This window comes from Homo sapiens, chromosome 7 (assembly GCF_000001405.40).
Source record: "Homo sapiens chromosome 7, GRCh38.p14 Primary Assembly".
NCBI classification, from domain to species: Eukaryota; Metazoa; Chordata; class Mammalia; order Primates; family Hominidae; genus Homo; species Homo sapiens.
This window is the reverse complement of record NC_000007.14, coordinates 129,466,483-129,482,420: the sequence shown is the minus strand read 5'-3', so window position 1 is coordinate 129,482,420 and position 15,938 is coordinate 129,466,483. Positions and strand designations below refer to the sequence as shown.

Sequence of the window (15,938 nt, the reverse complement as noted above, 5' to 3'; positions counted from 1 at the left end):
GAGTGACAGAGCAAGACTCCGTCTCAAAAAAAAAAAAAAAAAATATATATATATATATATATATAGAGAGAGAGAGAGAGAGAGAGAACTATTCCATTCATATTTTATTGTTCAAAGTTTTCAATATTCAAAGCATATGGTATAAAGTGAAAAGAAAATTTTGTCAGCCACACATATCATTTCCACTGTCACAGTATTTTTGTTTATTTTCTGGAGATAATTCTATGTATGCATATATTACTTTTATTTTTTTGTTTTGTTTTGTTTTTAAGATGGAGTCTTACTCTGTCGCCCAGGCTGGAGTGCAGTGGTGCAGTCTCGATTCACTGCAACCTCAACCTCCTGGGTTCAAGTGATTCTCCTGCCTCAGCCTCCCCTGAGTAGAGGCGCCCGCCACCACACCCAGCTAATTTTTAGTAGAGATGGGGTTTCATCATGTTGGTCAGGCTGGTCTCAAACTCCTGACCTCAAGTGATCCTCCCACCTTGGCCTTCCGAAGTGCTGGAATTACAGGTGTGGGCCACCACACCCAGCCTACTTTTGTTTTTTAACACAAATGGTAGCCAACTACATATCCTGCCACACTGTTCTATACCTGGTTTTTTTTATTGAATATATCTTGAAAACCATTCCATATCAGTACAGAACTGCCTCATTCTTTTACTTTTTTTAATAGAGATGGGGTCTTATCATGTTGCCCAGGCTGGTCTCAAACTCCTGGGCTCAGGCAATCCTTCTGCCTCAGCCTCCCAAAGTGCTGGGATTACAGGCATGCACCACTGAGCCCGGCTGCTCATTCTTTTTAATGATTGCATAATATTCTATTATAAGGACATACCATCATTTATTTAACCAGTTGGTCCTGCTTAATGAGCATTTAGCTTGTTTCCAGGCTTTCATTATTATTATTATTATTATTATTTTGAGACGGAGTCTCACTCCGTTGCCCACGCTGGAGTGCAGTGGCATGATCTCGGCTCACTGAAACCTCTGCCTCCCAGGTTCAAATGATTCTCCTGCCTCAGCCTCCCGAGTAGCTGGGACTATAGGTGCCTGCCACCTTTCCCAGCTAATTTTTGTATTTTTAGTAGAGATGGAGTTTCACCATGTTGGTCAGGCTGGTCTCGAACTCCTGACCTTGTTATCTGCCCGCCTCGGCTTCCCAAAGTGCTGGGATTACAGGCATGAGCTACGGAGCCCAGACAAGCTTTCATTATTATAAACAATGTTGCAATGATAAACCTTGCACTTGCATCATTTGGGAATGTATGTAATCCAAACAACATTGCTAGCTTCCCTGCTAGAGTTGCCCTGAGGGAGGGTTTGAGATTCAGCCCCCTGAAAAGAAATGGACTGATAAGTAATCATCTAATATAGAATAAGTGCCCAGAATTATGAGGTGCTAAATCTTATGTAGCATTCAGTGTCTATATACGGAGATCACAAACCAGGTAGCACACAAATATTTACTAGTGATCTTTTAAAAATTCAGTCAGATGGACAACTCCATGATGTAAAAAACCACACTCACCATGGTCCGGGAATGTTTCCATTTGGTCAGTTTATTGAGCAGCCTCAGGAGGTTGATGCAGGAAAAGAGGTTCCTCCAGCAGAACTGGCTGTTGTCTCCAGCTTCCTATAGTAGGGAACATCCATCATTATCTTAATACCTACAAGGCTTTAATTCCCACAGAAGCCTGGAAGTCAATGTTGGTCAGTTTAGGTGAGGCCTTCCTGTATGAAATAATACCTCCTCACCTTCCTGTTTCTTAACACACTGAAGTCTCCAAAGCCCATGGTTTAAAAACCCCCTCAGCTGCCAATCCTGGAAGACTCTACCTACAGCATGTGTTGGTTAGAAAGATGATACATGAGCACAGGAACCTGATTCAGGCAAGTTTTCTTGTGTAGCTTATTGCTCTAGGATCAGAAAAGAGATGAGAGAATTTTACCCCCATATACAGGTACTTTGCGCTTATATAAACTATGTTTGTAATTGTTAGGATTAGGTCTAATTCTGGTAGATTTTAAACTATGTTGGATGGATCTGATATCAACTATGGTTGAATTTTTTTTTATCTTATCAACCTTCACCCTCCTTTATCAAACCATATTACAGTTAGATGCTTAATTCTTCAGCATGGAAGGAAAAATGGCAGATGGTTTCTTCTAATCAGATATTTTTCTTATATATTTCTTGATAGTTTGTGAACACCTAACCAGAGACAACAGATGGATGTCAGATTAAAAGCAGGTATCTACTCATAGAAAGATTTTTCAGAAATAAAAATGTGAGTCCTTATGTGAATTTGGGGCTTGCAAATACATACTGGTGTCAGAAGCTATATAACTCAATGAGCACACGTGACAGCCAAACTAACATCTTGGAAATTCCTCACATCTACAATGTGATAGGAGAATGTAGGAGTAGATGACATGTAGAAGTGAGCTGCTGTCTGGTGAATGGAAAATTACCTCCTCCTCCCTCAAATTAATTTGAAGCAAGACAGGCATATATCTAATGTGGAATGAACATCCAAAGTTTTTGAGGGTATTAGGCTTTCCTAATACCTAATACCAAGAGCCAAAAAGTTTCAGGGAAATTTCTTATTTAGAAATATTATTTATAGGTCGGTTGTGGTAGCTCACACTGGTAATCCTAGCACTTTGGGAGGCCGAGGCAGGCAGATGACCTGAGTTCAGGAGTTCGAGACCAGCTTGGCCAACATGGTGAAACTCCATTTCTACTAAAAAAATTAAAAAATTAGCTGGGCATGGTGGCAGGAGCCTGTAATCCCAGCTACTTGGGAGGCTGAGGCAGGAGAATCACTTGAACCCAGGAGGCAGAGGTTGCAGTGAGCCAAGACCACGCCATTGAACTCTAGCCTGGGCAACAAGAGAGAAACTCCATCTCAAAAAAAAAAAAAAAGAAACATTATTTATAAATAATATTCTCCATCATACAGTAAATGTTCAATATTGTCCCAGGAGAACCATCTGTCTGCTTCTAAGGAAAACTTCTATGGGACTTTCTACTGTAGTGCATCAGGTAGTCTGGCTTGCCCCAAATAGACCAAGTTCTACAGACGTTATATCTTGTGTGGTTAATAGAGACAGGGAGACTTTTACATTTTTTTTTTTTTTTTGAGACAGAGTTTTGCTTTTGTTGCCCAGACTTGAGTGCAGTGGGGTGATCTTGGCTCACTGCAACCTCTGCCTCCCAGGTTCAAGCAATTCTCCTGCCTCAGTCTCCTGAGTAGCTGGGATTATAGGAATGCACCGCCACGCCTAGCTAATTTTGTATTTTTGGTAGAGATGGGGTTTCTCCATGTTGGTCAGGCTGGTCTTGAACTCCCAACCTCAGGTGATCCACCTCCCTCAGCCTCCCAAAGTGCTGGGATTATAGGCATGAGCCACCGCGCCCGAACAGACTTTTAAATTTTTAAGACGCAAGGGAAACACAAAACATATGGGATAAGTAAGTGTATTTCTACTGTGAGCTTCCTTCATCCTGATTTTCAATACGGTAGAGGCATAAAAAGCCTTGCAGTCCTCAGTATCTCAAAGAATAATATGGGAGAGAAGGCATCCCCTTGTAGAAGCAGCATTGGAATAGATACCAGAATACTTGGATTATGGCCTCATCCCTGACTGTATGATCTTAGGTAAATCATTTTCCTTGTTTCCTGTAGAAGGTTGAACTAGCTAATCTTTAAGATCACTTCAGGTCTGAGCATTCTATAATTCCGTGATTTACATGGACTTTCTCCAGTTGAAAAGAACTGCCTCGTTCTTTTTAATAATGGTTACCTAATATTGTATTGCAAGTATGTACCATAATTTATTTAACCAGTTGGCCCTATATTAGTGGTCATTTAGGTTACTGCCAATCTTTCAATTTTTCTTTTTCTGAGATGGAGTCTGACACTGTCACCCAGGCTGGAGTGCAGTGGTGCCATCTCGGCTCACAGCAACTTCTGCCTCCCGGGTTCAAGCGATTCTCCTGCCTCAGCCTCCCAAGTAGCTGGGATTACAGGTGCCCGCCACCACACCCAGCTAATTTTTGTATTTTTAGTAGAGATGGGGTTTCACCATGTTGGCCAGGCTGGTCTTGAACTCCTGACCTCAGGTGATCCACCTGCCTCGGCCTCCCAAAGTGCTAGGATTATAGGCGTGAGCCACTGTGCCCGGCCTAACAAAAAGTTTTTAATATAAAAAGTCCAACATAAAAATGTACATGACCTAATTTTTACATCATAGTAAAACAGGCTCTTTGGAGAGGGGACGTGGAATTTCTCTGCTGAACAGCCATTATTTATTCTTGTTCCAAGGTTTCTAACATGATGATACTATTTCTTCGTATCACCACCATTCCAATATTCTTCTGTTGCCCGCTGGTTGCCATCTCCACACACTTATCTATCACAAGATTCATTAAGGGATCAAATCCCCACAATATTCCTTGGACATGTCTGCCACCATTTAATTTCAATGATAACTTCTTGTCTATAAATTTTTTCAACTCAGGAGGGTGAGCTTTGCTCATGGTGTCTACATGGGCTCACAGATGCCTTGAGATGGAATGCATGGCTTCTCTCTTGCTCCTGTGGTAGGCCCAGCAGTCTTGCATCTGGCATCACCCACCTCATTAGCCAATCAATTGTTGGCATGTTTTTTCTATTTTAGATTTTCTTTACCAACACCATTATAGAATAATTCTCTTATCATATGGGTTTTTGATAAATTACTGCTAGATTAAGGACATAGATCTGGATAGCTTAAAAGAGAGTAATGGTTCTCAAGTGAAATAAGTGGATAAGGAGGAAGGAGAAAAAAAAATTTCAAGATTGTTTGGGAAACTTTAACAAACTACAAGTGCCCCAGTAAGGGGCACTAACATACCTGGGTATGTGAGTTTGAAAAATCATCCTGGAGATTCTAATCTCCCCAAGAACCCATTATAGAAATAGTGACCAACAGGAAAATTGATATAATGCTAAAAAAATTTTATCCATGGTCCTTCCTTTGTATAAATACCTCATGGAAAGTGGATATATACTTTATGGTATGTTTACAGTATATCTCTGAAATACATGTATGTTTACTGATAAATGCATAGTTTTAAATAACATTGTAGGAATGTACTCATAAGTACGGAAAGTAAAAAAGATATCAATAGCCCTCTCCCTCTCCCCACAGTCTCCCTCCCCCTCCCCCTCCCCCTCCCTCTCCCCACGGTCTCCCTCTCCCTCTTTCCACGGTCTCCCTCTGATGCCGAGCGGAAGCTGGACTGTACTGCTGCCATCTCCGCTCACTGCAACCTCCCTGCCTGATTCTCCTGCCTCAGCCTGCCGAGTGCCTGCGATTGCAGGCGCGCGCCGCCACGCCTGACTGGTTTTCGTATTTTTTTGGTGGAGACGGGGTTTCGCTGTGTTGGCCGGGCTGGTCTCCAGCTCCTAACCGCGAGTGATCTGCCAGCCTCGGTCTCCCGAGGTGCCGGGATTGCAGACGGAGTCTCGTTCACTCAGTGCTCAATGTTGCCCAGGCTGGAGTGCAGTGGCGTGATCTCGGCTAGCTACAACCTCCACCTCCCAGCCGCCTGCCTTGGCCTCCCAAAGTGCCGAGATTGCAGCCTCTGCCCGGCCGCCACCCCGTCTGGGAAGTGAAGAGCGTCTCTGCCCGGCTGCCCATCGTCTGGGATGCAAGGAGCCCCTCTGCCCGGCTGCCCAGTCTGGGAAGTGAGGAGTGCCTCTTCCCGGCCGCCATCCAGTCTAGGAAGTGAGGAGCGTCTCTGCCCGGCCGCCCATCGTGAGATGTGGGGAGCACCTCTGCCCCTCCGCCCCGTCTGGGATGTGAGGAGTGCCTCTGCCCGGCCGCGACCCTGTCTGGGAGCTGAGGAGCGTCTCTGCCTGGCCGCCCCATCTGAGAAGTGAGGAGCCCCTCCGCCCGGCAGCCGCCCCATCTGAGAAGTGAGGAGCCCCTCCGCCCGGCAGCCGCCCCGTCTGAGAAGTGAGGAGCCCCTCCGCCCGGCAGCCGCCCCGTCTGAGAAGTGAGGAGCCCCTCCGCCCGGCAGCCGCCCCGTCTGAGAAGTGAGGAGCCCCTCCGCCCGGCAGCCGCCGCATCTGGGAAGTGAGGAGCGTCTCTGCCCGGCAGCCGCCCCGCCCGGGAGGGAGGTGGGGGGCAGCCCCCGCCCGGCCAGCCGCCCCGTCCGGGAGGGAGGTGGGGGGCAGCCCCCGCCCGGCCAGCCGCCCCGTCCGGGAGGAGGGGGGCACCTCTGCCTGGCCACCCCTTCTGGGAAGTGGGGAGCCCCTCTGCCCGGCCGCCACCCCCTCTGGGAGGTGTACCCAACAGCTCATTGGGAGCGGGCCATGACGACGATGGCGGTTTTGTCCAATAGAGAGGGGGGAAATGTGGGGAAAAGATGGGGAAATCAGATTGTTGCTGTGTCTGTGTAGAAAGAGGCGGGCATGGGAGACTCCATTTCGTTCTGTACTAGGAGAAATTCTTCTGCCTTGGGATGCTGTTGATCTATGACCTTGCCCCCAACCCGGTGCTCTCTGAAACATGTGCTGTGTCCACTCAGGGTTAAATGGATTAAGGGCGGTGCAAGATGTGCTTTGTTAAACAGATGCTTGAAGGCAGCATGCTCGTTAAGAGTCATCACCACTCCCTAATCTCAAGTACCCAGGGACACAAACACTGCGGTAGGCCGCAGGGTCCTCTGCCTAGGAAAACCAGAGACCTTTGTTCACTTGTTTATCTGCTGAACTTCCCTCCACTATTGTCCTATGACCCTGCCAAATCCCCCTATGCGAGAAACACCCAAGAATGATCAATAAAAAAAAATAAAAAGAAAAAAAAAAAAAAGAAAAAAAAAGAGTCATCACCACTCCCTAATCTCAAGTACCCAGGGATACAAACACTGCGGAAGGCCCCAGGGTCCTCTGCCTAGAAAACCAGAGACCTTTGTTCACTTGTTTGTCTGCTGACCTTCCCTCCACTGTTGTCCTGTGACCCTGCCAAATCCCCCTCTGCGAGAAACACCCAAGAATGATCAATAAAAAAAATAAATAAAAAATAAAAAAATAAAAAGATATCAATATAATACATATAAAATATTTAATATTTTCCATCCCCCAAAGCATTTCCTTGCACAGCCTACATTTCATACCACTGCTCTCAACAACCATTCAGATGCTAAGCATTGCAAAATACATACTGAGCCCACATCCACTGCCTTCTCCAGCAACCTCCTTTCAAAGACCACACTTAACTTCCACATAATCATACGTTCACCATCCTTCATTTAAGTTTGGAATTTTATTTCAATTTTTTCCTAGTTTAGTGGATTGAATATGAATACCGACATTTGGAGATACACAAATTTTTAAACTTCCTGTACCAGGTGGGAGGGGAAACTACTTAGTATATTGGTGAAGATGGCCTATCTAAGAGCTAATTAGTTTGACAAAATGGGAATACTTCAGAAATTAATATGCCATTAGCTCACCTTTATTTCATGTTCATCATGCTGTTTAGAGTTTCATATAAAGTTGAAATGAATTCAGTTCAAATTCAGAAAACTGAAAAAATATAAATCAAGACTACCTCAGCCCAGCGGTGGCTCAGGCCTATAATCCCAGCACTTTGGGAGGCTGAGGCAGGTGGATCATTTGTGGTCAGGAGTTCAAGACCAGCCTGGCCAACATGGTGAAACTCTGCTTCCACTAAAAAGTACAAAAATTAGCTGGGCAGTAATGGCACACACCTGTAATCCCAGCTACTTGGGAGGTTGAGGCAGGAGAATCGCTTGAACCTGGGAGGTGGAGGCTGCAGTGAGCAGAGATTGCGCCACTGCACTCCAGTCTGGGCGACTGTCTCAAAAAAAAAGACTACTTCAGCCCAATAATTCCACTTCTAGGAATCTAAAGGAAATAATCAAAGATTCATGTGCAGCTGGGCATTGTGGCTCACACCTGTAATCCCAGCACTTTGAGAGGCCAAGGCAGGAGGATCACTAAGCCCAAGAATTTGAGACCAGTCTGGACAAAATAGGGAGATTCTGTCTCTAGGGAGATTTTATCTCTAAAAAAATTTTTTTTTAATTTAAAAATTAGCCAAGCATAGTGGCATGTGCCTGTAGTCCTAGCTACTTGGGTGGCTGAGGTGGAAGGATCATTTGACCCTGGGAGGTCAAGACTGCAGTGAGCTGTGATCACACCACTGCACTCAAGCCTGAGCAACTTCGAGACCCTGTCTCAAAAAAAAAAAATAAAAGATTTGCATGCAAGGATGTTTGTTTTGGAGTTACACAAGGAAAACATAAATAAATGTCAACAGCACAGAATCCTTTTTGAAACTAAATAGTGGAATATTATGTGTAACTATTAAAAATTATGTCCTGGGCTGCGTGCAGTGGCTCACGCCTGTAATCCCAACACTTTGGGAGGCTGAGGTGGGCGGATCACCAGGTCAGGAAATTGAGACCATCCTGGCTAACACAGTACAACACTGTCTCTACTAAAAATACAAAAAATTAGCCAGGCGTGGTGGCATGTGCCTGTAATCCCAGCTACTCGGAAGGCTGAGGCAGAAGAATCGCTTGAACCCGGGAGGCAGAGGTTGCAGTGAGCCAAGATGGCGCCACTGCACTCCAGCCTGGCCGACAGAGCGAGACTCCATCTCAAAAAAAATAAATAAATAAAAATAAAAAATAAATAAAAAATTTAAAGAAATTAAAATTATGTCCTCAGCTGGGCATGGTGGCTGACACCTGTAATCCCAGCAATTTGGGAGGCCAAGGAGGGCAGATTGCTTGAGCCCAGGAGTTCAAGATCAGCTTGGGCAACACAAAGACCCCGTCTCTACAAAAAATACAAAAATTAGCCTGGCATGGTAGCATGTCTGTGGTCCCACCTACACCCAGCTACTTGGGAAGGTGGGAGGATCACTTCAGCCCAGGAGCTTGAGGCTGCGATGGGCCGTGCTTCAGGCCGAGTGCACTGCACTCCAGCCTGGGTGACAAAGCAAGACCCTGTCTTCAAAAAAGAAAGAAAAAAATTGTCCTCTAGAATGTTTAATAAAATGATATTGTGAACATTTAAATTTTGCTGTCAAATGAAATATCTATGTATAAAGTCTTAGTTTTGTTAATGTGTTTATATATGAGTGAATATATATATAATTGCAGCAAAATATTAACAGTGGCTATATGTAGGTGGCATAAGAGTATTTTTCTTCCTCATACTTTTCTGTTTCTCCAGTTTTCTGCAATACGTATATTTATTTTAATATCAGGAAAAAAACTTCAAAAGTTACTTAAAGAAAATCCTATAGCCATTCGTTGTGGCTCATGCCTATAATCCCAGCACTTTGGGAGGCTGAGGCAGGTGGATCATCTGAGACCAGGAGTTCGAGACCAGCCTGGCCAACATGATGAAAGCCTGTCTCTACTAAAAATACAAAAATTAGCTGGGCATGGTGGCACGTGCCTGTAGTCCCCGCTACTCAGAAGGCTGAGGCAGGAAAATCACTTGGACTCACGAGGCAGAGGTTTCAGTGAGCTGAGATCACACCACTGCATTCCAGCCTGGGTGACAGCACAAGACTCTGTCTCAAAAAAAAAAAAAAAAAAAAAAAAAAAAGGAAAAGAAAAGAAAATTCTATATATTCAAATAGCCAGTACATTTTCTGTGCTTGCAATTTGTTAAGCCTGAAAAAAACAGATATATCTTACTCATATGAACATTAGTGTTTTTCTGAGCACAGAAGTCACCAGTTTAGATAAACCATACTGAGGACCTATGTGGAATAGACTCACTAGTTATTGCAGCCCATGACTGGGCTCATTCAAAATTCAAGCAAAACAAAAAGTCTGTGGTTACTAAATGAAACCACCAGGTGCCACTATTGCTTCACACAAAGTAGTAAAATACTTAGCATGACTATTTTTCAGGAAGAATAAATACATGCTTTCACTCTGAATAATATTAAAATCTTCTTAGAAAACATAATAAATTATTATGTTCACTTCATTTCAGTAATTTTATGCACATATCCCAAAGGTCAATTGGGAGAGATGTGAAAGTGTGGTTCCTATCAATTCCTATATATGAACCAATGGGGTTGGAACTGAAAATAAAAAACACATTATAGGAAGAAATAAATTCAGGCCATAAAAGTTGACTTTATCTTCTGAAATGCCCTACTAATAGCAGAATTTTAATGCTACTGTGTACCACTGTTTCTGTGGAAAATGTATTCTTCATTCCAACTCTGAATGGCAGGGGATACATGTCTCTCTACCCTGACTTCCACTTTCAACTGGTAGCTATTTAACTTCTCCATCTATAAAATAGTAATACTAACCTCATAGAGTTGTTTTAACGATTTAATAGCTACATCTCTGTAGTGTGGGTAAAAAAAATTTTTTTTAATAAAAAACTTGAAAAAAGACTGAATAGCATCATAAATAACATAGAGAGGGTTAGACAATTTATTACTTCTCTGTAGGAATAAAAAGCTTCCAACTTCTTTGGCTGCTGAGGCCACATCTAAATAAGACCAGGGAATCTCTCTATCCCAGTGGTAAAAAAGGGTGCTAGGTTGGTGTCTCAGGACATGGGTCTTTTGACTCATGTCTGATTCAGGCTCTGTCACCTATGAGGAGTAAACCATGACAAGTCACTTCATTCACTGGGCCTTCAGGTTTCTCATCTTTGAAATAAGGGGGTTGGATCAAATGGCTCTTAAGTCCCCTCCAGCCAAGAATCCCATGGTTCTATAAAACCTGTACCACAGAGATTGTCATTCTATTTTTGCATAATATACTTTTCTGACTCAACATTTTGCAGGAATTACAATTGGAGGACAAAGGGTTGTAGTAACCATTGGTGCATGCCATGATTCAATCATTTGACATTTATTGAGCTCTTCAATGTACCAGACAAAGTGCTAGACTCTAAGGATATAAAAATGATTATACTACCTCTTCATTCAAGGATTCTACAGTCAAATTAAGAAACAGACACAAATGCATAATTACAATGCAACAGGCTGGAGGTATGGATTGTGGCTTATCTAAGGAGCTATGGCAATACATGATGAGGTAGATACCTCATCTTCAGTATGGCTGTTGTTCAGTCAGTTTCATGGAATTAAGAATAACCGTGAGTGACTTTTCTGATTTGCCTAGAGCTGTTTTCAAGATGAGAAACTTTCTGGGCTATCCTTTTGTGGCTATATAGACTTTTGCCTCCGAGAGACTTAGACAAAGTATTTTCTCAAGTACACATTGCTTGCTAGGTTTTATTACCTATATGAAAATAAGAAGTGAACTCCCTGTAGCACAGCAGAAAGAAGACAGATAATTATTTGTGCTAGACCAGAAGAGATTGTCCTGCATTTAGCATAGATATTCACGCTCAATTTCGGTCCCATTATGTTTCTAAATTCCTTTTCCTCCTTAGTGTTTTTCACTGGCTGTTTCCTCTTCTCTGAAAAATGCTACGCTAAACTTTTCCAAATCTTTCTCAACTGGGTCAGCAACTCTAAACCCCTGCTGCATCTCTGCTCTTGCCAATATACCTTCATTGATCTGAGACTCTCAAACCAGGGCATTAAGGGGTTGGAGAAGAAATGAAAGAGCAAATGCCAACCTGTGCTACCTAGCAATTTCAAAGGCTACCAAATCCCCATCTGCTTACCAGACTTTCAGTAGTAAGCTCCGGCAAATCCTGGATGGTACAGCAAGGATAATCCAGGACTGAGATGCTGTAAGATGCAGAGATAAGGACAGGCTTTAGGTAAATGGCAACAGCAGGAATTGGCTGTATCTGGAAAGGGCAGGAGTTATTTCTCTCCAGCAGCCCCTATCCATTTCCCAAATTGCTTAGTGACCTCAGCTGAAATGAGGGCTCTGGTGCCAGGCAACTCTAGCTCCAGTCTCCTTTCCTGTCATGAGAGGAACCAATGAGTTCTTTGAGGCTGGCACCCATCTGGTAGATGCAAAAGAAAGCAGAAAGAGAGCCTCTTTTCTTAGCACTCCTTGCTTCTTTAAAGGAACATGTAAACTTGAGTGCATTTGTGTTTCTGCATTTAACTGTATGTGTGAATATAACTGCTCCCACAGACACTGCCCAAACCCATCCCACTGGATAACAATCTGAGGATGGGAGGATGAAATGATCCTCCTGTGTCTCTCACCAGATCTTTCTGAAAGCTGGGAGCTCTGGGGAATGATTACAGAAGCCACTCCTAAAGGAAGCTTGAGACAGGGGCAGTTTCCTATAGAAAGGCTAATCTAGTAACTCAAGAATGGTAATAGCTGACAGTGGGGGACTGCAAGCTACAGCTCTGTAGTGAGCCCAGGGAAGCAGGCATGAGTTAGGAGGGGAAATAAGGCATTGCATTATGACAAGGACATAGTTACAAAATAAATGACAGCTGTCTCTTTCCTCTTCTCCCTTCTTCACTGACACAATACAGAATCTGGACTAGCTAATCTCTAATGCCCCTTCTGGTTCTGATGTTCCATGAGGTTTTGAACACCAACCTATCTGAACTAGTGCAGCTGGAAATGGATAAAGGATGTTGGCAAAGCAGTGGCTTTGACGACGACAAGTTCACACTGCTATAATGAACCTGTCTCTACATTTTAAAAGTCAAAACTTCTATACAAGTAAAAGGCAACAATTTATTTGGCCAGAAATGTTTACCTTTGTCCAAGATAACCTGGGGGACCAGGGTAGGAGAGGAGAAGGGTCAGCTTGGGAGAGGGCAGTGTCAAACTACCTGTAATGTTGTTCATCATCTTGATTCACTCTATTGGATTTTCCCAGGGTTGCCAGTTCTGTACTGCTCCATTAGGATGAACATTCTTGGCTGGCTCATCCACCTATCCACCCACCTCCCACTGACAAAGCCCTATGGCAAAGTAGTTGCCGGCGACCAGGAAATGGGGGTGGGAAATCAAAGATAGATTTGTTCCATTCTCTTAGTGAATTGAAATCTAGCCTAAGGGGGCATAAAATTAATTTACAAGTATCTAGAACATCTAGATTGTTAAGAGCCATGAGAAAATTCTGCAATAATGAGCTGTGATCTCCAAGTTCTCAGAGATCATTCAAAAGTAAAACTTACAGATGGTGCATAAGAGGATCATCTTGTTCAGGCCAACCTTAGCAAAAGGTGTAGTCTGTTGCTACCACTCTTCCAACTCCAAACTGAACCAAATGGACATCTATTGAATTGTCTGTACCTCCCATTCTAGGTCCATGGGTGCAGAAGGAACATTCAATTTCTGTATACCACTCCCCTAGCCACAGTTGATCTAGGAGTGAACCTCTAACCCAGGGAATCTGGAATAGGGATTGAAGAGTCAATTCAGTCTCTGAGGTGGGGCATGTTTAGCTCATATAGACGTATTTCACTATGCGGCCTGAGAAGCAAACAATGCAGACTGATAAATTTGTCAGTGAGAGAGGAAACTGGAGTGGAAATACAGAGGCCTGGTGTCTTACAGATAGACGTGAAAGGCTTTCTGGGCTCCCCACACTACAGGCCAACCCTGAGGTCCAGAGCTGCATTGCTGTCCTAGGTTCCTCAGGATGACACGTCATTTCATTCTGACAAAGTCGCTATTCTGCATGAGTGTAGTCCAGCTAGTTTTGGTTACTTTTAACCAAGAGTGTTGACTGATACACAGAGGTGCCTGCATGCAGTTGTGGCCCTGACACAGCCTGACCTGTACTTTCATTTTCCCTGGTAACTCAAGTAGCACATCTGAAGTGCCAGTTTTAAAGGGGCCAGTGCACAGGTCTCCGTATTGTTAGGAAAAACCCATCCTCCAATGCTTACCCCCAAGGGAAAGTGTTTAAAGCAATCTTACATATACCAATATTAACTAATGCTTATAAAAGTTCTATGATATAGTCAGAAAAGCTATCCTTATTTTAAAGATGAAAATACTGTGGTTCAGAGAAACAGTTTCTTGCTTGAGATTACATAACTAGTAAGTGGCAGATCCAGGTCACGAATCCAGGTCTCATGACTTCAGGCTCCATAGGGTGTGTGTGTGTTTTAAGCTACATATAAGTAGGCTCCTTCTCCATGGTGGAATTTCAGGCAGTACTGACAAACTAGTGTGGCAATATCTCTAGTCACCCCAAGTATGAGATTAGCCCTCTTACTTCTACTTTAGGAATTTTGCCTCTGGTAAACTCTACTGATTAACATATTTCCAGTTCTTGTGAAAGTAGAATATTAAGGAACAAGGATCTACTCTGTAATCCCCAAGTCCCTGCTTGGCTGGAGGAATGGAAAGCAATTTGTATTCACAGGGAAGCCTGTGTTCTGATCCTGCCTCTGATGCTTACTTAAGGGGTCTCACCAGCATGTTAATTTTGTTAATATCTCTGAATTTGTTTCCTAATTGGAAAAATGAGAATAAAACTTATAACAACTCTTAGCATTGCTGAGGAGATTAAATAATGAATGTGAAATACCTTATTTTTTTAAACTACAAATTGATGTACCTCAGTAAATTCGATTATGTAACTTCAGTTACAAATTTTGTATAATACATTACAGTTTATGAAACAGTATAACTGTTCCAATTGCTCCAACTTATGATTTATACTAAAATAACGCCTGGCCAGACAAGCAGGTTGTTTCACAAAAAACAACCCCTGGATCCACCTGACACAGAGCTAAAAATTCATCATTGCCACTTCATTTCTTTAAGTCATGACATTTTTCAGTGTTTAAAACTATTAAAATATAAATACTTCCCTAAAGAAGTAAAACTATACACTCCATCAGCTAACACTTCAAGGAAATTAAATTTAACAGTGACAGCTCTAAGACAGGAGGGACTAGGGACACCAGGAAAACTGAAAGGCTCCGAGATGATGTAATTTTCTCAACCACCCCAAAATAGCCCCTTGAAATAAACCTGTCCAGAGTTCATACCTGTTTTTGGCAGTGATGTATGACAAGATATTTTGATTGAAGAACTTCAGGATCAAGGGGATGCAGTTGGCAAATACCAAATGTTGCGATACATATTCAAACTGAATTAAAAATCAAAGCAGAAAGGGCTGCTTATTTGGAGGAGAATGGAAAGTATGTTTGAAAAAAAGAGAGGAAATACAAATCTAATATCCATTCCTGAGAATATCTACTATCCACTTGTGTTATCAGTCTTCCTGTCTGGGAAATGGGAAGAATCATCTTCAGCCAGCCCATCCTACATGGAGGGGGATAATCTGCAGTATATGTCACAAGCACAAAACAAAGAAGCCAGAAAATAAAATCCCACTCCAATACATAGAAAGAATTGCTGTGAGATTTGTTCCTAAGCCCAACAGGAAAGGAAGGCTCCCCGAGGGAGTCGTTTTCCATGCCAAACCTCTGGCTCATAATGTTTCAACTGTGATTGATATAGCAGGGACAGCTGCAGCTTACTCTTGGCAACTGCTGGCATCACTCAGTCAGGATGGTGACAGCACATAATAACCAAATGGACCACTGGGCTCCAGCTCCAGTATGTCTGGTGTACCATATTATCCTTAGTATTTAGAATATCAGTAAGTATACTGGCCGCTTGGAGTATGGGGGAAAGGGGGAAAGAATATTAGTAAATGTTTTAATAAATGAATGAACAAGAGCCCTTCAGCCAACAGATACTGCACTGAGAAGTCTAAGGTGTCTTTGATAGGCTTAATACCAGAATGTGGAGACTCCATTCTGCTCTCCCAAATCCAGATGTGGTCTGTATATAGGACAACCCAGTGGGACAGGTGGCCATAAGAGCAGTGTCATGGGGGTTATGTTACCCATGATACACTAAGGAGTGTCAAACACAGTTTATCTCCAGATCCAGAACCTAGTATTCTAGTATAGAAATGGGGTTGAAAAAGCAGAGAACTATGGTGTTT

The 15,938-nt window shown here is 43.0% G+C and overlaps 1 protein-coding gene and 1 pseudogene across 7 annotated transcripts in view, besides 1 other annotated feature; both read right to left on the bottom strand.

Moving 5' to 3' along the window:
• The window catches only part of STRIP2 (striatin interacting protein 2), a 53,968-nt gene that overhangs the window by 5,979 nt on the left and 32,051 nt on the right, over positions 1–15,938 (bottom strand). For 6 of the 7 annotated variants that reach the window (NM_020704.3, XM_006716069.4, NM_001134336.2 and 3 more), the window contains 3 exons: positions 14,971–15,071; positions 11,706–11,772; positions 1,532–1,636 (listed from right to left, as the gene is read on the bottom strand). In NM_020704.3, the coding sequence (NP_065755.1) occupies positions 1,532–1,636; positions 11,706–11,772; positions 14,971–15,071 (273 nt within the window). Of the gene's footprint in view, positions 1–1,531; positions 1,921–11,705; positions 11,773–14,970; positions 15,072–15,938 lie in introns of those variants that run through there. The other variant, XM_017012470.2, reaches the window with a different exon arrangement.
• On the bottom strand, positions 4,199–4,666 carry SNRPGP3 (small nuclear ribonucleoprotein polypeptide G pseudogene 3; annotated as a pseudogene).
• Positions 12,043–12,582: an enhancer, noted in NCBI's record as "NANOG hESC enhancer chr7:129109680-129110219 (GRCh37/hg19 assembly coordinates)". NCBI's record gives its function as "activates a minimal SCP1, AML or CMV promoter by ChIP-STARR-seq in naive H9 embryonic stem cells {active_cell/tissue: H9 hESC(naive)}" and the evidence as "EXISTENCE:reporter gene assay evidence [ECO:0000049][PMID:30033119]".